A 27,903-nucleotide genomic window follows, 5' to 3' on the forward strand; every position below is an offset into this window, starting at 1 on the left:
AGAACTTAAAATAAAAATCAAAATAAAGAAAAAAATGAAACTACAGGCCAATAGTTTTGATAAATCTTAATGCAAAAATCCTCAACCAAATAGTAGCAAACTGAATTCAACAATACATTAGAAAGGTCATTCATTATGACCAAGTAAGATTTACTCCCTGTGATATAAGGATGGTTCAACAAATAGAAATCAATCAGTGTGATACATCATATCAGCAGAATGAAGAATAAAAACCATATGATTATTTCATTCATGCTAAAAAAGCAATGAATAAAATCCAACACCCCTTCATGATAAAATCCCTTAAAAAATGGGGATAGAAAAACATACTTCAACATAATAAAAACCACATAATATCATACTGAATGGGAAAAATTCAAAAGCCTTTCTTCTAAGATCTGCCATTGTCACCACTGTTATTCAGCATAGCACTGGAAGCCCTAGTATGAGCAATCAGACAAGAGAAAGATATAAACATCATCCAAATTTGAAAGAAAAATGTCCAATTATTCTTGTTTGCAGATGATATAATCATGTAATTGGAAAAACCTAATGATCCAATAAAAAGCTATTAGAACTGATAAAAAAATTAGTAAAGTTGCAGGGCACAAAATCAATGTACAAAAATTAGTAGCATTTCTATATGGCAACAGTTAACAATATAAAAAATTTAAAAAGCAATTATATTTATATTAGCCACACAAATCCAGAATACCCAAGGCTATCTCAAACAAAAAGTATAAAACTGAAGGAGTCACATTCCCTGACTTTACATTATACTACAGAGCTTTTGTAACCAAAACAGCATGGTACTGGTATAAAAGCAGACTAATGGAACAGAATATAGAACACAGAAACAAATCCACACACCTATAGTGAACTCATTTGTGACAAAGGTGCCAAGAACATATGCCCAAGAAAAGACTCTCTTAAATCTCTTAAATAAATGGTGCTGGAAGAGCTGGACATCCATATGAAGAATAAAACTAGACATATACAAAAATCAAACCCAAACATATACAAAAATCAAACCAAAATTGAATAAAAACTTAAATCTAAGACCTCAAACTATGAAACTACTACAAGAAAACATTGGGGGAAAATATCCAGGACATTGACCTGGATGCTTTTTAGATGTTCTTCAAAAACATTTCCTTGGGAATACCCTACAAACACAGGCAGCCAAAGCAAAAATGAACAAATGGGATCACATCAAGTTAAAAAGCCCCTGAACAGCAAGGATACAGTCAACAAAGTGGAGAGACAACCCACAGGATGGAGGAAAATATTTGCAAACTACCCATCTGACAAAGGATAAGTAACCAGCATATATAAGAGGCTCAAACAATTATATGGGAAAAAAATCTAATAATCTGATAAAAAAAATTGGGGAAAAGGTTTGAATAGACATTTCTGAGAAAAAGATCTACAAATGGCAAACAGGCATATGAAAAGGTACTCAACATCATTGATCATCAGAGAAATGCAAATCAAAACTACAATGAAATATCATCTGACCCCAGTTAAAATGGTTTATGTCCAAAAGATGGGCAATAATAAATGCTGGCAAGGATGTGGAAAAAAGGGAACCCCCATATATTGTTGGAATGTAAATTGGTACAACCACTATGGGAAACAGTTTGGAGGTTTTTCAAAAAACTAAAAATTGAGCTACTATACAATCTAGCAATCATTCTGCTGGGAATATATGCAAAAGAAAGGAAATCAGTATATTAAAGAGATATCTGCTTTCCAGTTTGTTGCAGCATGGTTTACAATAGTTAATATTTGGTAGCAACCTAAGCTTTCATTATCAGATGAAGGGATAAAAAATGTGGTACATATACACAATGGAGTATTATATAGCCATAAAAAAGAATAAGATCCAATCATTTGCAGCAACATTGATGGAACTGGAGATTATTATATTAAGGAAAATAAGCCAGACACAGAAAGAATATTATCACATGTTCTCACTTATTGGTAGGATCTAAAAATCGAAACAACTAAACTCATGAACATAGAGAGTTGGAAGGATGGTTATCAGAGGCTGGGAAAGATAGTAGGGGCCTAGTGGGAAGGTGGGGATGGTTAATGGGTACAAAACAAAATAGTTAAAAAGAATGAATAAGACCCACTGATTGATAGTACAACTGGAAGACCATAGTCAATAATGACTTTATTCTACATTTTAAAATAACTTTAAGAGTATAATTGGATTATTTGTAATTGAAAGAATAAATGCTTAAGGGAATGGATACATCCCCCCAAAAAGGAACAGAAAAATCTCAAACTGAATGAAAGTCAATAGATATCAACACTGAGATAACAGAAATATCAAAATTTTACAGCAGTGATTATATAAATGCTTCAATTAGCAATTATAAACACACTTACAACAAAGATACTCAGCAAAGAAATGAAAACACTAAAGAAAAAAATGAAAGTTATAAAGGAGGACCAAATGAATATATTAGATCTGAAAAATATAATAATTGAAATAAAAACTCAGTAGATGAACCCAAAAGCAGAATGGAGGCTACACACACAAAAAAAGAATCAGTGACCTAGATGATTAAACAATAAAAATTACATAGTCTGGATATCACAACAAAAACAGACTAAAATTTAAAAATTAACAGAGCCTCAGTAATCTGTGGGACTATAATAAAAGACATAACACTCATGTCATCAGAGTCACAGACAGAGACAAAACAGAAGATGGGACTGAAAAAGTACTTTAAAAAATGAAGAGAAATATTTCAATTGTTAAGATAAATAAATTTATAATTTCAAGAAACTGAACAAACTCCCAATAGGATAAACCTCCCAAATTCATACTAAGACACAAAATAATTAATCTTCTGAAAATAAAACCAATAAAAAAACTTGAAAGTAGCCAAAAAATGACACATTAGCTATCAGAGAAAAATAAATCAAGTGACAGTGGATTCTGCCTCAAATTGTTGTAGATAGAAGTGGAATTGTATTTTCAAGTACTGAAATAAAAGACCTGCCAATTCAAAATCCTATATGCTGTGAATATGTCCTTTTGGAAAAAAAAGTAAAGGTATTCTTTTATAAAGGATAGCTAGTAATATTTACCTTCAAAAAATCTATCCTAAAAGAATAGCTAAATGTCTATAATAGAAATAAAATGATAAAATATGAAACCCCAGAATATCTGGAAGAAAGAAAAAACATGGTAAGTAAAAATATGGCAAATACAATAGCTTTATCTCTCCTCTTGAGTTTTCTCAATTATATTACTGTTGAAGCAAAAATTATAATGTTGTCTTTAAAGGTTCTAAATGTGTGTAAAAGAAATACTTAAGATAACTGTATTTTAAATGGGATATAGTAAAGGAAAAAGGGAGATAAGTGTTCTATACTTCACTGAAACTGGTAAAATACACACACACACACACACACACACACACACACACACACAGAGAGAGCGCAACCTGTATACAATAATATATATATATAATATATATAGAGAGAGACCTATATCCAAGTTATACAAAGAGATGCATTCAAAAACAGTATCAATAAGTAAAACTGGAGTTAAAAAAATATGTACAAGTAACCCACAAGGATATGGAAAAAAGAAGACATTGAAAGAAAAACAAATAGAAAAAAAATACTGAAGTGGTAGACTAAAGCTGTAGCATATCAGTAATTAAAATTTAAAAAGAATATCACACCTCATATAAAAATTAACACAAAACGGATCACCAACTTATATGTAAAATGTAAAACTGTAAAACTCAGAAAATAGGTACAAGAGAATCGCTGGGCTCTAGGGCTAGGCGAATAATTCTTAGCTGTGACACTGAAAGCATAATCCACGTTTTTTTAAATAGACTCAATTCAAATTAAAAACCTTTGCTCTGTGAAAGAGTCTGCTAAAGGGATGAAGACATGAGGTATATGGAGTACAAAATATTTGTAAACCATATATCCAATAAAAGATTAGTATCTAGTATATATTTTTAAAATCTTACAACTTGAATAGTCCAATAAGAAAATAAGCAAGAAACATGAAGAGACAATTCACCAAAAAAATGCACATGGCAATAAGTACCTAAAAAGATATTTGAGATAGCTAATGTTATTAGCCACTAGGGAAATGTGAATCAAAATCACAATGAAATATTACTATGCTCCAGTCAAAATGTATAATAATGACAACACAAAATTCTGGTTAGGATGCAGAGAAATCAGATCATTCATGCTCTCTAATGAGAATTACAAAATACTGCTCAGGAGAACCAGAGATGACACAAACAAATGGAAAAACATTCCATTGTCATGGATAGGAAGAATCGGGAGGCCGAGGCGGGCGGATGATGAGGTCAGGAGATTGAGACCATCCTGCCTAACACAGTGAAACCCTGTCTCTACTAAAAATACAAAAACATTAGCCGGGTGTGGTGGCAGGTGCCTGTAGTCCCAGCTACTCCGGAGGCTCAGGCAGGAGAATGGCGTGAACCTGGGAGGTGGAGCTTGCAGTGAGCCGAGATAGTGCCACTGCACTCCAGCCTGGGGGACAGAGCAAGACTCCATCTCAGAAAAAAAAAAAAAAAAAAAAAAAAAAAACACAAAAAACAGACATACTACAGATGCAATGCTATTCACTAATAAACTACCAAAGACATTCTTCACAGAACTAGAAAATCCTATGAAACCAAAATTCATGTGGAACCAAAAAAAAAAAAAAGCCTGTATTAGTCAGTTTTCATGTTGCTGATAAACACATACCTGAGACTGGGCATTTTACAAAAGAAAGAGTTTTAATGAACTTCAAATTTCCACGTGGCTGGGGAGGCCTCACAATCATGGCGGAAGGTAGAAGACATGTCTCACATGGCGCCGGACCAGAGAAGAGGGTTTGTGCAGGGAACTCCCCCTTATAAAACCATCAGATCTCGTGAGACTTATTCACTATCACGAGTATAGCATGTGAAAGACCTGCCCCCATTATTCAATTACCTCCCACAGATCCCTCCCACAACATGTGAGAATTCAAGATGAGATTTGGGTGAGGACACAGCCAAACCATATCAGAGCCCAAACGGCCAAGGCAATCCTAAGCAAAAAGAACAAAGCTGGAGGCTTCACATTACCTGACTTCAAACTGATGGTGGCAGCGGCCCATCTTGAGTGGCCACTGTGAAGACACTAGCTGCAGCATGGAAGGCACAGCTGGGGCTGTGTGCTCCACAGAACCAGTGAGGGCCAGGAACAGATGATCTTAGCAGGATCCCTGTGCCCTACCAAGTTGGCAGGTGGGAGCCCCATGCTCCTGGGTGCAACTGCAGCTACCCAGCCAAGGCTCCAGACCCAGGCATCCCTGTGCTCTCATGGGCCCAGAAAGCCCCCTCCCCCTGAAGGCTCCAAAGTGCCTACTCTTGTTCCCTGGCCTCTCCCCACTCCCAGAGCCCACTCCAGTGTGGAGGAAAGTTGTGGCCAAGCCTGGGAACTGTCATGATCTGGCTGTGTGTGTGTGCACCTGGGGAGGTGCTGACACATTTGACCCCTGCTACCTCAGCCCCTCTGGACTTTGGGTGCTAATGAGCATGAGAAGGAGGCCAGGGGGCTGAGGGTGGCTCAATGAGGGCCTGCAGGCACCCCTTAATGGCAGACAGTCTGGGTGCCATGGACAGCATGTTGATGGCAGCAGGAGACTCCTGGGCGCGAAGGGGGTGGGTCGCAGGTGAAACCCCACTTTCAACCCAAGAATGGCCTGAAGCCTGGGGGCTGGCTGCCATTTCTAGGTGGAGTCTGCAACATGGACTGAGAACTTCCTTGATGCCTTTTATCCAACTGGATGGTGCTTTTTCCAGGCCTGCCCATGGCCACCCATGGACCAATCAGCATGCACTTTCTCCATTCTGAGCCCATAAAAACCCCAAACTCAGCCAGAGTCCGACACCTGTCAGAACTGCCTGCCTGCAGATGCGAGCTACCCATTTTGGGTATTCTCTACACTCATCAGAATGATCTGCCTGTGGATAGGAGTTACCCACTTTGGGTCTCCTCTCTGCTGTGAGCTGGTCTGTCACTGAATGAAGCTCCTCTCCACCTTGCTCACCCTCCAGTAGTCTGTGTAACCTCATTCTTCCTGGACACAGGACAAGAACTCTGGACCCGCTGAACAGCAGGAGCAAAAGGAGATGTAAAATGTTTCTGGCCAGCTCACTGAGGCACGGGCAGTGACACACTCCTGGACTGTGGGAGTGAAGAGTGGCAACCCTTCTGGGGGCCCAGACCTCAGGATTCCCTGAGCCAGAGCTGCTGTAACAGTACAGCCTTCCTGCCTTCTGCTGGTACTTGGTGACCGCCCCATGTGATGGGAAGCAGTGGTGGGGCCAGGCCAACCCAGAAACTGCAGGCTAGAGTAGGGCAGTGGGACTAGAAGAGGTGTAACACAAATGGGCTGAAACATGCCCCCCTGAAACTCGCTCCCTTGCTTGCCACACTGCTGACAACAAGAAGGAGCAAAGAGCTGCAGCCCTTCTGGGAGCCCAGACCTCGGGGCTCCCTGAGCCAAGACTGGGACGTGCTGCAACAACCTCTCTGGGGCTCTGTGGTTCCTGGTGTCTTCAAGCTTTTGGGTGCCACTGCAGTCTTCCTGTGCAGACACTGGTGCCTGCAGTGGAAGCCACTTGTGTCATGTCTGGTCCAGCCACAGCCTCATACGAAGCCTTGCATGAAGCCACAGCCTCTCACAGTGCCTGTGCCAGCACCTGGAGCTGCCCACCCCACCACAGCAGCCAGCATGCTTTGCTGTGCACAGCAACTGGCCCCCGTACTCACTTGTTCATACACCCCTTGCCACTCCATGCCTGTCTTGCCCTTAGCATGTGTGGAATCCAGGCCAGTAGGTAGTGCAAACCAACCACAGCCTGCCAGGCTGAGTGGGTGGAATGAGCAGGTACAAGCAAAACTCAAGCAGAGGGGCCAGCAGCCACCAGACACAGAGGTTCCCAGCTAGTGAAGAGAAACCTGAAGAATACTGTGACAAAACTATATTATAAGGCTACATTAACCAAAACAGCATGGTACTGATACAAAAACAGACACATAGACCAGTGGAACAGAGTAGAGAGCCCAGAAATAAGGTTTTTTGTTTTTTTTTGTTCTTTTTTTTTCTCTCAAAAGTATTCTATAGTCTGGTAAAGAATTAAAAAACCGAAAAAGAGGGAATAGAGAATATAGAGGTGACCTAAAGATGTCAACCATGTTCCATGGTGGAAAAATATCAGGAAAAAAAGTATTAATTCTAGCAGAGTAGAATAGCAATTATTCATGGGGGAGGCATTCAAACTGAATCCGTTTAAAGCATATTAAATGCAGAAGAAATTTTGCAGAGACAGAGTGGGAAACATAATTATTTTCCAGAGTAAATTTGGCTAATATTAATTTTGTCATACATTTTTGTCAGTTTTGACATTTTAACTATAAAATTAGTGTGTGGATAAGATAAATTAGGTAGAAATAATGACAATTACAAAAAATATTACTTTGATGAGTTGCTGGGTTTGAGAAGAAGAAATTTTAAAATCTTCAGTGAAAAATAACTATTTTATTATATATATATATTTTTTTTCTTCAATCTTACTTTCCAAAATGTTTACCTTGGATAACAAAATTATAATTCATAGATATTTTTATGTGTTCAGGAAATTTATAAAATATATATTGTTGAGAACACTCAAAAAAGAAATTGTGGAAAAAAGGACCTAACAAATGTGACCCTTCTAAAAGAGTGGAGGCCTCCTGGCAATGTTCTCTGCAACCCATGATGTAGGTTAAGAGGAGTGGACCAATGTTCTGTTTCTGACTGATTATGAGGCAACATATGTACCAGTAAAATTTCTAACTTACATTGGGTCTTCATCTTCCATCTATCAAGGCATAAGCTTATCCATGTATAAGGCTGGCTGCAAAATTTTTCACAAAGTATATTCCATGAGTCCACACAACAGACCCCCTTTTTACTTCTATTATTCAAAGAGGCATAAGCAAAGAAAAAAATTGAAAGATAAGAGTCTCGTGATAGTAGAAAAGTCTTGATCCGTGATCTTGGGATAAAGCTGTCCACATCAAGGATGCCATCTTCTTCTGGGTAGAAACTTCTCTGCCTAGTTTTATTTTAAGGGTTTCAAAGGGCGTACAGTTCCAAGAGTATTGAGGGATGCTTCTGAGTTGTGAGATTATGAACCTTAGGTTCAAGGTCCCAAAGTTATGCTACAATGTGGATGGCAAGGGCAGTTTTTCTCTGATGCTCTTGGATCACAATCTAGAATCTTTGGGTTCTAGATTGTGAAGAGGTTGATTGTCCCCAGTCAGTGAACCATGAAGAATTTTCTTTACTTTGTGAAAATATACTGTGGCATAATGAGCTACTGTTATAACATCAGACTTCTTACATGAGAAACTTTTGTATAACTAGAAAACATGCATTGAGATGACAAGTGATTAAATCCTTCTATAAATGTTTAAATGGCCCATCAGGTAGTGAAATGTACCTGAAGTTTTGAATGTCTTCCCAGGAATGTGAGTTTAACAAACCAAACATTTTGGTCATAAACTATTTTAGCAAGTTAGAAGTCCATATATATATATATATATATATATATATATATATATACACACACACACACACACACACACACACACACACACACATACATTTATCGGGATCATTTTATCTTTTCCATGATGAGTCATGGAATGTAGACCATTTAATAACAAAAGCTTTAAGGACTCAAGAGGACAAGCCTGCTGCCCTAGTTCTCCAAGAGTTCATGCTTATTCAAATTATGTCCTCTTGAATACCAGTTGTTTCTCCAATTTAAGTGCACAGCACTGATAAATGATGGGTTATCATGGGTAATTTTACCTAGACAATGAAGTTTATTCAAATTGTATATCTGAGCAACTTCAGTACTGGCTGATTTAGATAAACCAGTCAGTCTTTTTATTAAAGTTTCAGAGATTTCTTACCCAGTCCAAATGATATGATTCGAAAGTTATTCAGAAACCTCTCTTCAAGAGTGCTTCTCAGGTTTCTTTTCATCCTGTCATGAACCTCCTGCAAAACAACATATTCTAGGATTTTATATACTTGTGAAGTTTTCAGAAACTGCTTCAGAAGCAATTAACTGTGAAAATGGCTTTGAATAGTCATGGTTAATGACACAATTGACTAGGAAATTTGGTTATTTCTCTGGTCTACAATAACAAAATATTATACACATTAGAATTTTAGAAATCCCATACAATTTTGGAACACATATAAATAACATTCATTAAAATGTAACCTGAAGAAGGTTAAATATTATTTCTTATTTGACAATCCTTCCCTTGTAACATAACATGTAAAATAATCCCATTTACTTCTCCTTTGGATGCTTCAGGTGGCCTCTGGAGCACCCCAAAGTGAGAGGTAAAAAAAGACGCAATTTTGAAGTTGAAATTTGATTTTGCGAAGCCTGTCAAATATGTCAAAGGTTTAGAGCACTTGACCAAAATAGGATCAGAGGTCACCATAAGACCACAGTGATTCATTTACCAAAGTAATAATTAAAAGATTTTTAAAAACAAAACCTGTTTGTCTTTGATCAAGGGGACTCAGTTTTCTAAACAATCAAAAGACAAGACAGCATGAGACAGAATCTCTCTGTTCTTATTTACTCTTTCTTTTCCTCAGTTTACTGAAAAGGTGAATGAAAATATTATACTGGCATGTTAATACTACACAAAATTCTTGTTAAAAAGGGAAAACCTATCAGTGTATTATCAATATGAAAACTGATTTTAACAAAACCTCATAAATAACATTTATCAAATCTATCATTTTTTAACCACACATTTCTGTAAATCTTTTATTTTACATTTTCCCCAACTTTCTACATTCATCTTGTTTTATCTGTTTTTTATTCCTTCAATTTGAAATCTTTAAGTAACTTCAAACCAAACACAATTTTTAACACACATTTTTATGCCTTTATAACTTTCCTCATCAAACACATATTTTGCTTTGCTTATACACTCTGAAAAAAGAATTATCTCATATCTAGTAGTTTTTAACCCTTAGTAACCCTAATTTCCAGTGATAAGCCTGGAAAGTAATTTTGAACTGTTTTATATCAGTATTTGTAGATAAAAAATATTTTATAAGTTTTTAGAAAGATGGTTATCCAAATTATTGTTTATTAACAGTCTAAACATACTTAGCTTTTCTATACTGAAGCAGCTACGGTTGTCTGGGGTATATATCCTGGGGTTCATTGCCATGTGCTGAGAAAGAGTTCAGGACATGGACACATGTGGGTGGGTTAAGGAGTAGAAAGTTCAATAGACAGCAGAAAGGAGAGAGGAGAGCAGCTCCTAGTGAGAGAGAGGAGAGAGGACAGAGGAGAGAGAGAGAGAGAGAGAGGAGGAGAGAGAGAGAGAGAGAGACATCTGAAAAGAGGAGGGGCAGCAGACTGCAGCAGACGTTATAGGCAGGCTGGAGAATTCAGTGTCTGATTTACATAGGGCTCACAGATTGGTTCAATCAGGTATGACATCTACATAGTGGGCAGAGGAGAGGGTGGAGGAGGGGAAACTGGTGGCCCAACCATAATCTAATTATGCAAATGGTGCAAATGGGCTTTCCAGTTGATCGGAGCCATCTTGTCTGCTTCTCACTGTACACATGGCTGACAAAGAGAAGGGAAGATGGAGCCACCATCTTTAACATGATTGGCACAACTGCTGGCATCTATGTCTGCAGCTCAATTTTACAGGCTGCTTTTCATTAGAAAAGAAAATAATTTGAAGCTGCTTTTCATTAAAAAGAAAAGCCCTACTGAGAACTCCCATGGCCTTGCTGTCTGCCTAAGTAATTCCTTCTTAACTCCTATATCAATACCTACCACATAAAAATAACATGTCAAGGTATAGAGACTTAAATGTATATTTATTAATTAATATCTCAGTATATTAGCTTACAGATGACTCAGACATTTTATGATTATCTGTTACTGAATTTAAAAAAATATGATTCTAAGATTTTAAATTACTGAAAAGAACTTTGATACTATGACACAGGTAGCCTCCCCAATGACTTCCCCCAGTCATTCTAGGTCCCAAGTAGCCATGTGACATACATGAGGACTAGGAAGGTCAAGGCTTGTCTGAGTCCATCAGGAGAGGAAACAGTTGTTAAGACCATACCTGGAGAAACCAACCCTTCCAAAAATATCTATGAGGCAAAAAAGGGAAAACAGAGGAAGAAGGGACCACATTGAGCTTGATTCTGGCTTGCAGCCCCTGATATAGGCACTAAAAACATGTCTCCAGACTTTATCATTGCCACCTATCCAGACCCATGGATCCAGAGACTCTAAATCAAAGACATAAGCTCACAGTTAAATCAAGCATATATCTAATTATATTCAACTTGATAATTTTGAAACCACTTACATTTTACCAACAGTTTAAAAGCTAGCTTTATTTACCAAATATCACATACACATATACAGATACAAACACACAGAAACAGATCATATAGCTTTCATAAAGGATTTTCATTTGCTGGCTTTTAAATAGCTTTTCTTTTCCCCATTGAGCCTTCCAATCATCCAATTACCTGTTTCATTACCCTAAGCAATTGTGTACTAGGCAAGAAATTTGAATTTCTAAAGGGACAACTCTTAGGTGGAACAGAAAAATTTAAATTTCATAAGCACAGAGCTAAGATTTTAGGCCTAAATATTGTATCATCATTTTCTCAAACTAAGGAAAAAAATCTGCTTAAATAAAAGTTCACTTAAGACAGGATGGCCAGAAAAGCACCTTAAACAAAGGTATGACTTATTATGTAAATTTAAAAGATGGTAAGAGTTTCGAACACACATAGGCAGACATCCTTAAAATTGGAGATTTCCTTCATAGATATAAATTTTATTTATAAAAGAGTTTTAAGATAGCCAATTAAATTTCAGAAAGGTATATTTTAGTTCAATAGGGTGTTCTTTTTAACTTAGCTACTGTTTTTTTTACCTAAAATTACTTGAGTTAAGGTTGGAGTCTATTAAGGAATAAGGCCAGAAAGCATTCTGTATGCCTGGATTCAGCATGGGTAGATCTGAAAAACAAAGCAAGCCTATTTTACCTTAGGGTCTACCTTTTATAAACAACTTATCTAGGATAGCTTTTTTTCCACCCTTGAGATGGGTTGGTAACTAAGACAAAGGGTTAGCAGATTTAATTTTTCTTATCTATCAGTCACGTAAGCTTTTTATTTGCCTTTTACAAATTCTTTAAATAAAAACATTGAAATCTTTTTAGAAGTTTCTGCTGCAGTGTTGTTTATTTGGAAGATTCTACTGTAACTTATTTTTAGTAAGATTCTGCCATGTCTGTAAGACATTGCTGCTTCCAGGATCTAATATTTATGCATGTATAAGCCAGAAGGAACTCAGTTCTTAAGTAATTAAGGATCCTATTTCTACCTGAAATATTGGCTTTGGCTCTCAGTTTCTTTTGATCAACTTAGCTAATGATTTTTTTCTCCACCTAAAATGAAACAAAGGCATAGAACACAAAAATCCCTGTGAGTTTACAAAAGCCAAATTTTACACCCCCTGCAATATTGGCATTTACTACCTATTTCTTTCTGACCCAATCAGATATAAGAGATCTCTAACTGGATTCAAGCCAGTTAATTATCAGATCTAATTCAATTGTGGACCCAGTCCAATTTCTCTTATGAGTTCCAAACCCAGTTTGGATCATACATTCGCTCAAGGAAACTCAGAGAGCTCAAAACACAAATCTGTGGAGCTTCAGAATCCAAAAGAAAACTTACCACGATCCCCAGCTCCTCTGTGAGAGCAACAGACAGAACAGGCCTGGCGTGTACCTTGCTTGGTCACTCAGTGCTCATGGGGATTGTTAGAAGCTTTACTTTAGATCCCACTTCTGATGCCATCTGTTAAAATAAAAACATTAGCTGAATTAATAACAGAGTTTAATTGAGCAAAGAACAATTCATGAATTGGGCAGCCTCCTGAGCCAAAGTAGGTTCCGAGACTCCAGCATGGCCATGTGGTAGAAGATTTATGGGCAGAAAAAGGATAGAGACATACAGACAATGGTAGTGAGGTAAGGAAACAGCCGAATTGGTTACAGCCTGGCATTTTCCTTATTTGAACACAGTTTGAACAGTTGGCCACCTTTGGCCAAAACTTGGTAATTGGCACAAGAGTAGACTACAGTTTGTGTACAACTCCGTTTCAGTTATAGTTGACGATATACAGAGAAACTTTTAGGCTGAACTTAAAATATGTAAGAAGATAGCTTTAGGCTAAACTTGATTTAATATTTACCAAGGAAAATCTACAGTAGATCAAAGTTAATATATTTAATATATATGTCTTCTTTTATTATTTCATTGGCATATGTATGAATTTTCAGGATATTTTTTGTGTTCAGGCACTAATTATATAGAGAGTGCAGCAGAAGAAGATAACAAAACTTTCTGAGGGAAAGATCATTTTTTAATTATAAACAGGGCCAACAGTATTTAGTGGTAATAATGTAGTTTTTCCAAATGACATATTACGTATTTGTCAAAAAATGAATTTGGATCATATATTTTATATCTTTTTTTGCTCTAAAAGGCTGTAATATTTTTTCAATTATTATTAAAATTTATTTGAATGTGTATAATCAACTACTGCTACAGATTGATACTGTCACAGTTTGGTAAACATATATAAACTTATTTATTCTGACCTCTGTATAAGCATGTAATTATCTGATTAGAAAGTGCTATAGTTCATTAAGCAATGCAAAACCCCATGGCTTTATGCTTTATTAAAAACCTGCTTTGTTTTTTAAAAGGTTGATTCAAATGCCATCAGAGCCTGATTTAAAATGATTAGAAATGCTAGTGTCATTTTAAATTTAAATCCGAAAGAAAATTGATTTAGCATTGATAATTTAACATGTTCAAATCATGAGATATTTGTAAAAAATATATTTACTACACAGTTCGTTATCTTGCAGGAGATATCTGATCATAAAGAAAGATGTTCACGTTTATAGTGACAAATGTTTTGGCATAATTGGGGATTTGGGGGGTGGGGAGAAGAAAATATCCAAGTATTAAGTCTTAAGGGGAGAGAAACAAAATTATATTTTATATATTAAGAGTAATTCAAACCACAGAGAACTTGTAATAGTTGCTCCGAAGAAATAATTATTTCCTTATGCCGTTTGCTAAGAAATAGAGGATATGAAAAATTATACTTAACTGATGATGTAAATAGAGAAATAATGAGTGAGTATTGAATGGCTAGGGCCAAGGTAAAGCAGACTGTGTCAATTTGGGTTTGGTCAGGAGAAGGAACTACCTTAGATAATAGAAGCAAGAAAATAGAGGCTTACATTACCACTGAAAGGAATGATACAAAATTCAGGAGAGAAGAAAATGGTAGGAGACAAATGCAGATCATCTCAACTGCAGGCCATTCAGAGAATAATGCCTAGAAACTATTGGCAAATCCTTTCATTGCCAAAGCCCATGTACATGCCTATAGCCTATAACAGGTTCTCTTTGTCTGCCTTTCAAAATTTTCATCACTCACACTGATGGAATTTAAATGGGACCCTGTTTGCAAAGGACAGATAGTAAATATTTAAGATAAAAATATACAACAATAAGTTATGATCTGACACAAAGATAAATGATATCTAGATAAAGATTATTAATCCATTTGTTATCAAATGCTTACAGCAGGAATTGGATGGCATGCATAATAAACTATCATAATTTCTAAATTCAAGACTTTACTCATATGAAAACTTGAGTGATGTTTTATGCCAGATCATAAAAATTATACTGGGAAATATAAAATATGATTAATTAGAATATATATCCAGAAACCCAGAAATAAGAGTGCATTTTTTTTACTTAACTATAGCTACAAATAATTTTAACCAAGATAAAATTTTATACACAATATACATAATTTTTCTCTAGAACAAACATGACAACAGGATTCTAGTTGATAAATTTACTGATTGTTATATATAGTCAATGTTCTCATACATTCCCTGACTTAATAGGTCAATGAATGACTGAGTGACAGCCATGTAGTACAATATTTTAAACAGTCTTGTGGAAACTGTAATTTTTGTCCTTTAGAAGGTGGATTTTTAGTTCAACTGAATCAGGAACACTATGAACAAAAAACCTAAGAATCTGCTTCACCCCCAAGATAGAGACAGAATGGCACAAACTCCAATTCTACTCCCTGTGGAAGCCCAAAAGCCAGCAAAGGATTCCACGTAATCACATTCTCACAGTCCTTGAGACCCCTGAACTCCAGTTGAGAGTAGTTTCTCTCTGTCCCCAAGCATGCAGATGTGCAACAAAGCTCCTTCAAGGGTAAACACCTGCACACAGAAAGCTCTCATGCAAGAGTACTCACTAATACAAAAGCTGGAGTTTCCTGGAGGAAGTCACACAGCACATTGAATGGAAAAGAACCTTCAGTCCAATATAACCTATTTGACATTGCTACTCTTCCACCTTAACACCTTAACACTTGGGCTCCTCTTTTTTTTTTTTTTTTTTTTTATGTGGAGTCTCCCTCTGTTACCCAGGCTGAAGTGCAGTGGTGATCAGCTCACTGCAACCTCCGCCTCCTGGGTTCAAGCAATTCTTCTGCCTCAGCCTCCCGAGTAGCTGGGACTACAGGCATGTGCCACCACACCGGGCTAATTTTTTTTGTTTTTAGTAGAGAGCCAGGCTGGTCTCGAACTTCTGACCTCAAGTGATTGGCCCGCCAAGGCCTCCCAAAGTGTTGGGTTTACAGGCATGAGCCACTGCTCCCAGGCTCTTTTGGTCTTTACATCAAACAGAACTAGACTCCAACAAACTTGCTGGCTCATCTCTTCACTCCATCGTTCACTCTTATATATCCCATGAAACTACACATTTTTCTCTCTATTTTGCAAAACAGTGTAGCTCTCCTCTACTCTTATTCCCAAACTTGAAGAATGAACCTATCCCATCAAGTTCCTCTAATAGATCAAGAAATTTATTTAGCCTTTTCATAAAAGAATTATCATAATAAATGGTAAAATTCAATTTTCTGCATGATCTACTCTTCTGGCATCCTCATGCAACAATCAAATGCAGTGTTCCTGAACTAATTACATAATCTAGAGTTTGTGAAAGAAAATTAAATCTTAGCACCCCAAATTCATTAAGCCGAAGGGAAAAGTCAAGCTGGGAACTGGGTCACACAAACCTAACTCCTCCTTTTTTGTTTCTAAATAAGATGGCTACAAGATGAAAAGCTCCATGCCTCCCCCATGTTTTGCCCACAAGCAAATTTTTAGTGAGCTGCAAGATCTTTACTCTAAGGTATTCTGTTAAAATTTCACCATGGCCATGTAAATTTATAGCTTATCTTTACAGGTGCAGTCACCCCTCTGCCCACCTGACACAAATGCATATCCGATTGTTCCCCTACCCCATTTTGTCTTATGTTGTCTTATGTAAAATACACATTCCCCACATTTTTCGACTGCCCCATTTGTCTATGTCATTTGTCATAGTTAATACTGAGTATCAACTTGATTGGATTGAAGGATGCAAAATATTGATTCTAGGTGTGTCTGTGAGGGTGTTGCCAAAGGAGATTAACCTTTCAGTCAGCAGGCTGGGAAAGGCAGACCCATCCTTAATCTGGGTGGGCACAATCTAATCAGCTGCCAGGGTGGCCAGAATATAAAACAGGCAGGAAAATGTGAAAAGGCTAGTCTGTCTTAGCCTCCCAGCCTACATTTTTCTCTTGTGCTGGATGCTTCCTGCTTCCGAATATTGGACTCCAAGTTCTTCAGCTTTGGGACTCAGACTGGTGTCCTTGGTCCTCAGCTTGCAGATGGCCTATTGTGGGACCTTGTGATCGTGTGAGTTAATACTACTTAATAAACTCCCATATATATATAAAACTTAACTTAAACTCCATATACATGGGAGTTTATTGAGTAGTATTTTATATATTAGTTCTGTCCCTCTAGAGAACCCTAATACATCATTATATGTAAAAAAATTCAGATTCACTAAGCCAGACAAAGGCATGAATGACTATTTTTTTCTTCCCCCCTCTTACATGAAAATTGTGTAGTTCTCAATATCTTGCCCTTTCCCCTTTAAATTTGGAGCCCTCAAAATCATCTTCGGAGAAAGGCATAGACCTGTCTGGAGGGAGTGCATCCTTAACTTTGGCAAGTAAACCTCCTAAAATGATTAAGACTTGTCTCATCATTTTTCTCAATTGACAAGTTCCACTTTTAACCCTCAAAGGACCCCTCTTAAAATCATATATATTAATTTTTTTCATAAGTCTTGTGCTTTTTAATTTTTTTCATGAGAAACTAGGAAAGATATATCAGTTAAAGAATAGAAAAGACATATCAGTTATAGAAGAGTTATAGAATATAGAATAGTTATGGAATAGAAAGATATCTCAGTTATAGAATAGGAATGATGTATCAGTTATAGAATAGTTATATCAGTTATAGAATAGGAAACCAGTCTGGCTTCGTAAGTTGTGCTTTTGGTGAGTTTTCTATGACTTTAAACCTAGGTTAAAATATCAATGGTCTCACTCACCAGTTAGATGACCATGAAAAAATTTCTTTATATCTCCAGGATGCTTTTTTTTTCTCACTTGCAAAATGAGAATAATAGTAGGGACCTATTTTATAGTGTTATTACATAAATTATAGTTTAAATATTTATGAAGGGCCTAGAACAATGTCAGACATATAAATGTGTCTATTTTAAAAAATAAAGATAATTTTCATAAAATACTATTAAAAAATAAAAAGAAAGAATATAAATATAGGAAAATAAAAAACACAGAATTTTTGAGGAATGAAATTAATGCATTGGTTCTTAGAAAACATGGGTAGAGGCAGCCATGGTCAAAAACATGTTGAAAAGACTACTGTGGAAATAAGAACTCCTTAGGAAAGCTCCAAGTTTGCAGCCTTGTGTTGATCTAATATTACTTGTATTATTACTGCTATACTATTAATTGTAATAGTAGTTGCTGTAGTCTTTATTTATATTTTGGAGGAAGACAGAAACTCCTGTCTCAGTCTGCACTAGGCTGATTTTGTGTTGCTTTTAAAAAAATACTTGAGACTGAATAATTTTAAAATAAAAGGGGTTTAATTGGTTCTTCAGTCTCTACAGGAAGCATGCTTTTGGTGTCTGCTTCTCCTGAGGCCTTAGGAAGCTTACAATCATGGTGGAAGGCAAAGAGGGAGCCAGTGTATCATGTGGCAAAAGCTGGAGCAAGAGAGAGAGCAGGGAGATGCCATGCACTTTTAAACAACCGGATCTTGCCTGAACTAACTGAGCAAGAACTCAGTTATCACCATGGGAATGATGCTAAACCATTCATGAGGGATCCATCCCCATAATCTAATCACATCCCCACTTCCAACATTGGCGACTGCATTTCAACACGGGATCATGAGGGGACAAATATCCAAACCATATCAGTCTTTCACTCTATTTACCAGTGACAAATATTTAGGTTTGCTGTAAATCTTATTGATTAATAAATGAGGGAGACACATTTGAGGTAAGGCAGATAACTGTGTTAGTTTCCTACCATACCAGCCTTACTACTTGAGCCAAATCTACTCTCCAGTCATATTTATGTCAACTCTCTCCAGTTTTTCCAAACACCAGTGACTTGTCAATGTGGTTTCCTAATTTTGATATTGTCCTCCTTTCCCTTGGTTGAGAAATATACAAAATATTCCAGGAAAACTCTGGTTAAATTTGGCCTCATTTATTCCTAATCTATACTCCAGCCTTACAGTGATATCCTCGTTGAGGTATGGCTCAGCACCAAAGGTCAGAGTAACTTTTACTTTAATTTTAGCCTATTTTTTCCTCATAATTTAAAAACAAAAAAAGATAGAACATATCATAACTAAAAATTATAGAGATACTTCTATTTTCCTTAATATGCATTACATAATGCATATTATATATATTTAATGAAGGAAATATATATAATGAAAAAAAGGTCTCATTTTTATTATAGTACTATCCCTAACAGAAAAATCTTTGTAACTTCAGGCAACTAATAAACTTCTCCAGACATTATTTTCCTCATCTGTAAAAACAACAGTCACAAAAAAAACAGGGATATTAGATTAGATAATCTCCAATTTCTTTTCAGTCATGAAATTTAACAATCTATTAAAAAGTTATCTAAAGTACTGTCTCAAATTGCCCCAGTGTTCTGTTTAATGAAAACATAAATCACATTGTTCTTAATTTACTCCACTTCATTTACTCCTATAACAATGAAGAGTTTAGATGTGATTACATTTTATGATTTGTTACAGTTTTATTTGATAGCTAGATCCTGGGTCAGAGACCTTGATTTAATTTATGCTTGTTAACACTGAAGTTTATTTATGGCACTGAATAAATGATAGTGTAACAACACATTTGAAAATATCTTCCTAAGAGACAAGAGTTATTGCATTAATTTGCATTTTTTCTTTCTAGAATTTAGATAAATGTAAGTATTTATGGAAATAACAAATGTTGCCTGTTGGCTCTAAGATCTATCTTCTGTATGTAATGCTCTGGTGTTAATCTTCATGTTATCTTTTTGCTGAGTTCTCTTCAAAAAGTTGTAGTGTAGTTAATGTGGCAGACATAAAAGCAATGTTGATTCAATTTGATTTTCTGTGTTTTTTTCTGGTGACTTGCAAAAGGAAGAGCAAAACAAGTGAAAATCAAGCCAGATTCTAAAATTATGACAGTCTGTAAAGAAAATTAGTTATTAATTATGATGCAGGTTTACAGCAATATTTGTTTTGAATTAAATATATTTTCATGAAAATGTAAACCAGGAATGACACAAAAATAAAAATCTTACCAATGGAAGAATTGTGTATGTGTTTCATAAAGTAAATATTTTAACAAATCTTTGAGTAGGAAATATATAGTGAAAAACAATCTGAAAGTGGTATTTATAACTACAAACAAAACCCCAAAGCTTAATTTTTAATTCTCTCTCTTCCAAAAGTCTCAATTATATTCTCTCAGTTACAATACAAATTCAGAATTTCTCTTTGTGAGATACACAGTGTTTTGAAAGGAAATGAGCATTTTTAGTCTAACTACATGATAGTGGGTGCAATTCCTGGCTCTACCAGCTATAAGCAGCCTGACTCTGTCCAAAACACTTGGCCACTTGTATTCACAGCTTCATGTATAAAATGTGAGCAACAATGCTCACTGAGTGGGATTGTTGCAATGATATAACTGGTATCCTATCTGTAAAACACCTATAATAGAAACTGGCATATCAAATGTATATTCAGTGCTGATTCCTTACACCTTTTGCTTCTTTTTACCATCAATTCTCCTCTGATTCTAGCCTTTTGGGATATTGACTTGAAGATTCTAGAAATTTGTTATTTCCATTGTTTCCATTTTGTATTGCTATAAAAGAATACCTGAGGCTGGGTAATTTATAAAGAAAAGAGGTTTATTTGGCTCACAGTTCTGTGGGCTGTACAAGAAACGTGGTGCCAGCTCTGCTTCCAGTGAGGCCTCAGGAAACTTTTACCCATGGTGGAAGGCAGAGAGGAGCCATTGTATTATACGGTGAGAGAGGGGGCAAGAGAGAGTGAGAGAGGTCCCAGACTCTTTTTAACAAACAGATCTTGGGTGCACTCATTACTATGAACTTATTACCACTGAGAGAACACAAAGCCATTCATGAGGAATTGCCCCCATGATCCAATCACCTCCCACTAGGCTGCACTTTCAACATTGGGGATTACATGTCAATATGAGATTTGGAGGGTACAAACATCCAAAATATACTGATGCATCTGTTAAATATCATATTACAAATTCAGACTATTTAACAGCAGATCAAAGTGCTTAAGTGAGAAGAAGATAGTGGATAGCTGTATCTCTGATGTTCATATAGATGAGACACAGAATAAGAGAAATGGTAAGAGCAGTTGCTTAGGCTGTTAGGGTATTGTTAGGTATTGTTCTTTTCTAATTTAGTATCTCATTATTAAAGGAAACACAAGTTTTAATCCCTATCACACAGTGGGAAAGCCAGAAAAAGAAACCTACATGTAAGTACAAAGTGACTGAGATATATAAAAGTAGATAATTTAGGGCTAAAGTGATAGAAGTTTTGTCATAAAGATGAAAAATCTGGGAGATTATGGAATCAATTATGGAAACCTTCATAAAATAAAGAGGTTTGAGACAAATTTTAAAAGAAGGGAAGGATATTATTGTGTGGTAAAGAGTAGTGACAAAGTCATTCATAAGCCTTCATTGTTCTTAGGCTTCGAAAAGTCTAATGTTGTGGCAAGAAAATCCTTAGTGTGTCAGAGAACATTTGGTGCTGGGCTGATGTCACATAAGCTAAAAATCACTATAAAATGGGAAAATAGGGAAAATTCACAGCATAATCATTTTATCAGATTTATTCTGGAAAAAACCCTTCTACTTTCTCTTCATTAGTTTTAGTTCACTATTGGGTCATAGTCTTTTTCAAAAATTGCTTCATTTCCTTTTGATTTCACTTATGTGACTTCTCATATTTAATGTTACCTTATATAAAAAGCAATTGCTGGCTATCAAATTAATGTGACTGTGTCCTTAGACATAACTGATTTTTCTGTGGCTATGATTAATACTGAATGATTCACTGATATTAAAAGTGGTACCCATTTATTAGCATTTTTCCTTTGAGATCAACTCCAAGGAGGCAAAAGCAAAGTAACAGTTATCCTTCAATAGCTTTGTCCTGGAACCAACAGGCTACATTGTAGTTTAAACTGTGATACAAATGGTATTTTTCTTGGCTACTGTCTATTCCATTTCTGCATTCTTTTAGTGGAGAGTTCCCTGTTCTAGCAGTCAATAGAATCAACACCATTGTTTCACCCTCTCTTCTTCTCCATCAAAATCTATTACTCTACGTCTGCTTCCTCTGTGGGTCCACTCCATCAACAGTCAAGATTCAAGCTAAGTGTCAAATCTAGGAATAAGATTTTATTTATTTTATTGAAGGACATTTCATTTACTCCAGAACTACTGTATGTTTCCTATTTTATTTCCATTTAGGAAACATTGATTGAACATTTAGAATACATTGGAAACAAAACTGACTCAGCAGACATAACGATAAATTTTACATTTTCCCTGGTTTCAATGAGCATGTAATACTGTAGGAAGAAATATTTGTAAACTGATAAACTATATTGTAATAAGAAGAGCGATAATAGTTATAAACAAAATATCATGGGGAAGGGGCTTTAAAAATGAATACAATATTTAAATATTTGCAACATATATTTTCACAATCTGTAAAATGTATTTGTAATTTAAAAATATAAAACTAGTATTTATAACAGTAATGATTTCTAACAATAAATTGCATTGCTAGATTCTATTATTAATTCTGATAGATTAAAAATCTCATTATATTTTTGAGACAACTCTCTAAAGGATGAATTACTCTATTTTGTTCCATCATTATAGTAAATTATGTCAAAACATTTTAAAAAGTCAAATCATCTTTACATTTTTGTATTTTGAGGGATAATTGTATGTGGTCGGAATGTATCACATATAAACACACACATTTTTACTGAAGTCAACTTACTAGTATTTTATATAAGAAGTTTGAAGTTGTGTTAATTAAATCTTAGATATGTCTATTTTAGGAGTTCTTAAGGAACTGATTTTGGATTTTCTTTATCTTTATTGTACCTATGTTACTTGTTTACATTTGTGTATTATTACCATTCTTATACTTCAGGCTTAATCTGCTAGGCTTTTTCTAATTTTTTGAATTGGACATTTTTATAATTTTGCTTGTGCATACATGAGGTCATAGCAGTTGTCAAAATATACATTTATATTCATGTACATCAAAGGCCACTATCCTAAGCTGCTACCCTTCAGTGATCCTGCAAGTCACCAGCCATCCAGATCTCTTTCCTGGAACTTCTACCTGTCCAGACTTCCAGACATAGCCAGGATTTAGGTGAGACATGTCACATAATCCAGCAAAATCAGTGATAAAGAAAAAAATAACACTTCATGAAATATTTTTTACAATAGAAATTAATACTGGGACAAGAGCCAAGATGGCTGACTGCATGCTGCCAAGAATAGCTTCTCCAACCTATTGAGAGACCAGACCATGAAGACTGGCACACTCCAAGCAGATTTTCAGAAGGAAGCCATTGGGAATAAATAGAGGAAGGCCACAGATCCTACCCTGAAAGGGGAGGAGGCTGGGAATGCTGCACAATATTGCTGAGTGCCAGGATGTACTTCTTGTCCTGGGCAGCTCCTAGGGAAAGCATGAGTCAAATAGGCATGAGTGGCCAAATATCACCACAGACCTCTGGAATCCTAGCTGAAGGGGAACTGATGACCCCTGTGGACATTTGAGTTGGCAGAGAGCTGCTTAGAGAGTTGGCAGGGACAGGACTCTAAGTGGTGTAGAGCCTACAGGGTTTGGCATGGAAATGGCAGCAGTGGCACATGGCTGGGGACATCCATACCCCAAGGTTCACCATGCTCCTCTAGGTGGCTTGGGCCTTTGTTGACTATTAGACATGGGTGGAACAGGACTGTCTGCTCATGGGATGGGGACAGTCTGATCTGAGAGCCCCCTGTCTGCTGGCCTCTCCCAGTAGTGCAGTCTGAGATCTCCAACTGTGGCATTTCCCAGTGGTCACTGCCATATCTTCACTGGCAGATACCACCAAATCATCAGAGAGCTTCTGCAGATGGGCCACTCCCAGCATGCACCTGCTGACAGCAGCCCACACTGCTTCGCCAGTGTGCTTTTGCTCACAGCCTTCTTGTACCACTTCGTTGGTGATTGAAAGCATGAAGCTCACTGCCACTTCCCCAGTGAAGTACTTTTGCCAGCACGCCCCCTTAAGAGGGTTGTTACCAGTGGACTGGGAATACCTCAGCCCCTCCAGTGAAACAGGATCCTTGAGGAGCCAAAGAACAAAGCTGTGGGCCTGGTCCCAGTCCCCCAGGGTTAGAGCATGCAGCCCAAGAGTGCCGATCTGAGCCTTAGCCCCCTGTGAAATTGTCCAGAAATGAATCCAGTCAACTGAATCCAATTTATACCACATCAAATACACAAGGGCATCACAGAATATAAAACCAATAAGCCCCATCCAAAGTATAGCAACTTGAAAGATTACAGGATCATTAGCCCACACAGATGAGAAAGAACCAGTGCAAGAACTCTGGCAACTTAAAAAACCAGAGTGTCTTCTTACCTCCAAATCATTGTGCTACTTCCCCAGAAATAGTTCTCAACCACACTGAAATGACAGACAGAACATTCAGAATCTGAATAGAAATGAAGATCATCAAGATTCAGGAGAAACTTAAAACCCAATCCAAGAAATCAAAGGAAGCCAGGAAAACAATATAAGAGCTGAAAGACAAAATAGCCATTTTTAAGAAAGAACCTAAACTGATCTGATAGAGCTGAAAACTCACTACAAGAATTTCATAATACTTATAAGTATAAAATCATAATAGACCAAGCTGAGGAAAGAATCTCAGAACTCAAAGATCAGTTCTTTGAATCAACTCAGTCAGACCAAAATAAAGAAAAAAATTTAAAAAGAATTAAGAAAACCTTCAAGAAATATGAGATTATGTAAAGAAACAAAACCTACAACTCAGTGGCATCCCTGAAAGAGGGGAGAGAGCAAGCAACTTGGAAAAAATATTTGAGGATATTGTTCAAGAAAATTTCCCCAAACTCACTAGAGAGGTCAACATTCAAATTCAAGAAATTCAGCAAAGCTCTGGGAGACACTATACAAAATGACCATTCCCAAGGCAAATAGTCATCAGATTCTTAAAGGTCAGTGAGTAAGAAAAAAATATTTAAGGTAGCTAGAGAGAAGGGGAAAGGTTCTCTTCAAAGGGAACCCCATCAGGCTAACAGTGGACCTTTCAGTGGACAGCCTACAAGCCAGAAGAGAATGATTGCCTATGTTCAGCATCCTGAAAGAAAATAAATTTCAACCAAGAATTTCATATCCAGCCAAAATAAGCTTCATAAAATAGTTTTCAGAGAAGCAAATACTAACAGAATTTGTTACCACCAGACCTGCTTTAGAAGATGTCCTTAAGAGAATGGTAGACACGGAAACAAGGGACAGTAGCCAGCCATGACAAAAATACAATTTAGTACATAGACCATTGACATTATGAAGCAACCATATAAACAAGTCTACATAACAACCAGCTAACAACATAATGACAAGGTCAAATATGCACACATCAGTATAAACTTGAACATAAATGAGATAAACAGCCCATTTGAAAGATACAGACTGACACATTGGATAAAGAAGCAAAACCCAATGGTATGCTATCTTCAAGATACCCATCTCACATGCAATGATACTCATAGGCTCAAAGCAAAGGCTAAAAAAAGAGCAGGTTGCTATCCTTATTTCAGACAAAACAGACTTTAAATCAACAATGCTTTTCTTTTTGAATAAAGGCTTAAATTTAACAAGAAGACTTAATTATTCTAAATGTATATGTACCCAACACTGGAACATCCATATTCATAAAACAAGTTTCTAGAGACCTATAAATACACTTAGATAACCACATAATAATAGTGGAAGACTTAAATACCCTACTAATAGTGTTAGATAGATCAATGAGGCAGAAAACTAACCAAGATATCTGGGATCTAAACAGGAACATCTGACTAAAATGATTAAACAAACATGTACAGAATTCACTAAACAAAACCAGAATATCCATTATTCTCATCTGCACATGGCACATACTCTAAAATTCACCACATGCTTGGCCATAAAGCAATTCTCAACAAATTCACAAAATCAAAATCACACCAACCATACTCTCAGATCACAGTGTAATTAAAATAGAAATCAATACAAATAAGATCTCTCAAAACCATACAATGACATAGAAATTAAACAATATGCTCTTGAATGGCTCTTGGGTAAACAGTGAAATTAAGGCAGAAATCAAGAAATTCTTTAAAACTAACGAAAACAAAGATAAAACATACCAGAATCTCTGGGGCATAGCTAAAACAGTGTTAAGGGGAAAGTTTATAGCATTAAATATTCACATCAAAAAGTTAGAAAGATCACAAATTAACAACTTAACATCACACCTAGGGGAACTATGAAAACAAGAGCAAACCGACCAATAAGGTAGCAGAAGAAAAGAAATACCCAAAATCAGAGCTGAACTGAACAAAATGGAGGCATGAAAAAACATATAAAAGATAAATAAAACCAAAAGCGTGTTCTTCAAAAGAATACAAAAGATTGATATACAACTAACTAGACTAATAAAGAAAAAAAAGAGAGAAAATTGAACACAATCAGAAATGACAAGTGGACATCACCACTGACTCCACAGAAAATTAAAAAAAAAACTCTCAGAACTATTATAAATACCTCTATGCACACAAACTAGAGAACCTGGAAGAAATAAATGAATTCCTGGAAACATACAATTTCCCAAGATTGGACCAGGAAGAAATTGAATCCCTAAACAGACCAATAATGACTCCCAAAATTCAATCAGCAATACAAAAATCTGTCAACCAGAAAAAGCCCTGAACCAGATGGATTTGCAGCTAAATTCCACTAGATGTATAAAGAAGAGCTGGTAACAATACTACTAAAACTACTCCCATAAATAGAGGAAGAAGGACTCCTCCTTAACTAATTCTATGAGGTCAGCATCACTGTGATACCAAAACCTGGCACAGACAGAATAAAGAAAAATTTAGGCCAATATCCCTGAAGAACATAGATGTAAAAATCCTCAACAAAATATTAGCAAACTGGACCTGACAGCACATCAAAATGCTATTTCCATGATGAAGTAGGCTTTATTCTTGGGTGGAAAGGTTGGTTCTATATACACAAATCAATAAATGTGACTCGTTACATAAACAGAACGAAAACAAAAAACCACATGCTTATCTCAATAGACAGAAAAGTCTTCTGATAAAATTCAATATCCCATCATGTTAGAAACCTTCAGTAAACTAAATATTAGAGGAATATACCTCAAAATAATAAGAGCCATTTATGGCAAACCTCATACTGAATGGACAAAAACTGGAAACATTCCCCTTGAGAACCAGAATATGTCTAGAATGCCCATTCTCATCACTCTTACTAAACATCATTTTCGAAGTCCTAGCCAGAGCAATCAGGCAAGAGAAGAAATACAAGGAAACCAAATAGGAAGACAGGAAGTCAACTGTCTGCCTTCTCAGAAGATATAATTCGATACCTAGAGAACCTCATAGTCTGCTGAAAGGCTCCTCCACCTAATAAAAAACTTTAGCAACGTTTCAGAACACAAAATAAATGTATTAAAATCAGTATCATTTCTATAAACCAGTAACACTCAAACTGAGAAAAAAAATCAAGTACACAGTCTCATTGACAATAGCCACGAAAAAAGAATCAAATACTTGGAAATACAAGTAACTACGGAGGTGAAAGATCTCTACAATGAGAATTACAAAGCACTACTGAAAGAAATCAGACACATCACAAACAAATGGAAAAACATTTCATGCTCATGGATTAGAAGAATCAATATTGTTAAAGTGGTCATATTGCCCAAAGAGATTTAGAGATTCAATGCTATTTCTATCATACTACCAACCATGTTTTCACAGATTTAGAAAACTTTATTCTAAAATTCATGGGAAACCAAAAACGAGCCTGCATAGCCAAAGA

The 27,903-nt window shown here is 36.2% G+C and overlaps 1 long non-coding RNA gene across 1 annotated transcript in view; it reads right to left on the reverse strand.

Moving 5' to 3' along the window:
• The window catches only part of LINC00571 (long intergenic non-protein coding RNA 571), a 92,416-nt gene that overhangs the window by 29,741 nt on the left and 34,772 nt on the right, over window positions 1-27,903 (reverse strand). The window contains exons 2-3 of the long non-coding RNA NR_047500.1: window positions 12,869-12,991; window positions 9,016-9,103 (exon numbers count right to left, since the gene is read on the reverse strand). This is a non-coding gene — a long non-coding RNA (long intergenic non-protein coding RNA 571). The remainder of the gene's footprint in view (window positions 1-9,015; window positions 9,104-12,868; window positions 12,992-27,903) is intronic.

The sequence above is a fragment of the Homo sapiens genome, chromosome 13 (genome assembly GCF_000001405.40).
Source record: "Homo sapiens chromosome 13, GRCh38.p14 Primary Assembly".
Classification (NCBI taxonomy): domain Eukaryota; kingdom Metazoa; phylum Chordata; class Mammalia; order Primates; family Hominidae; genus Homo; species Homo sapiens.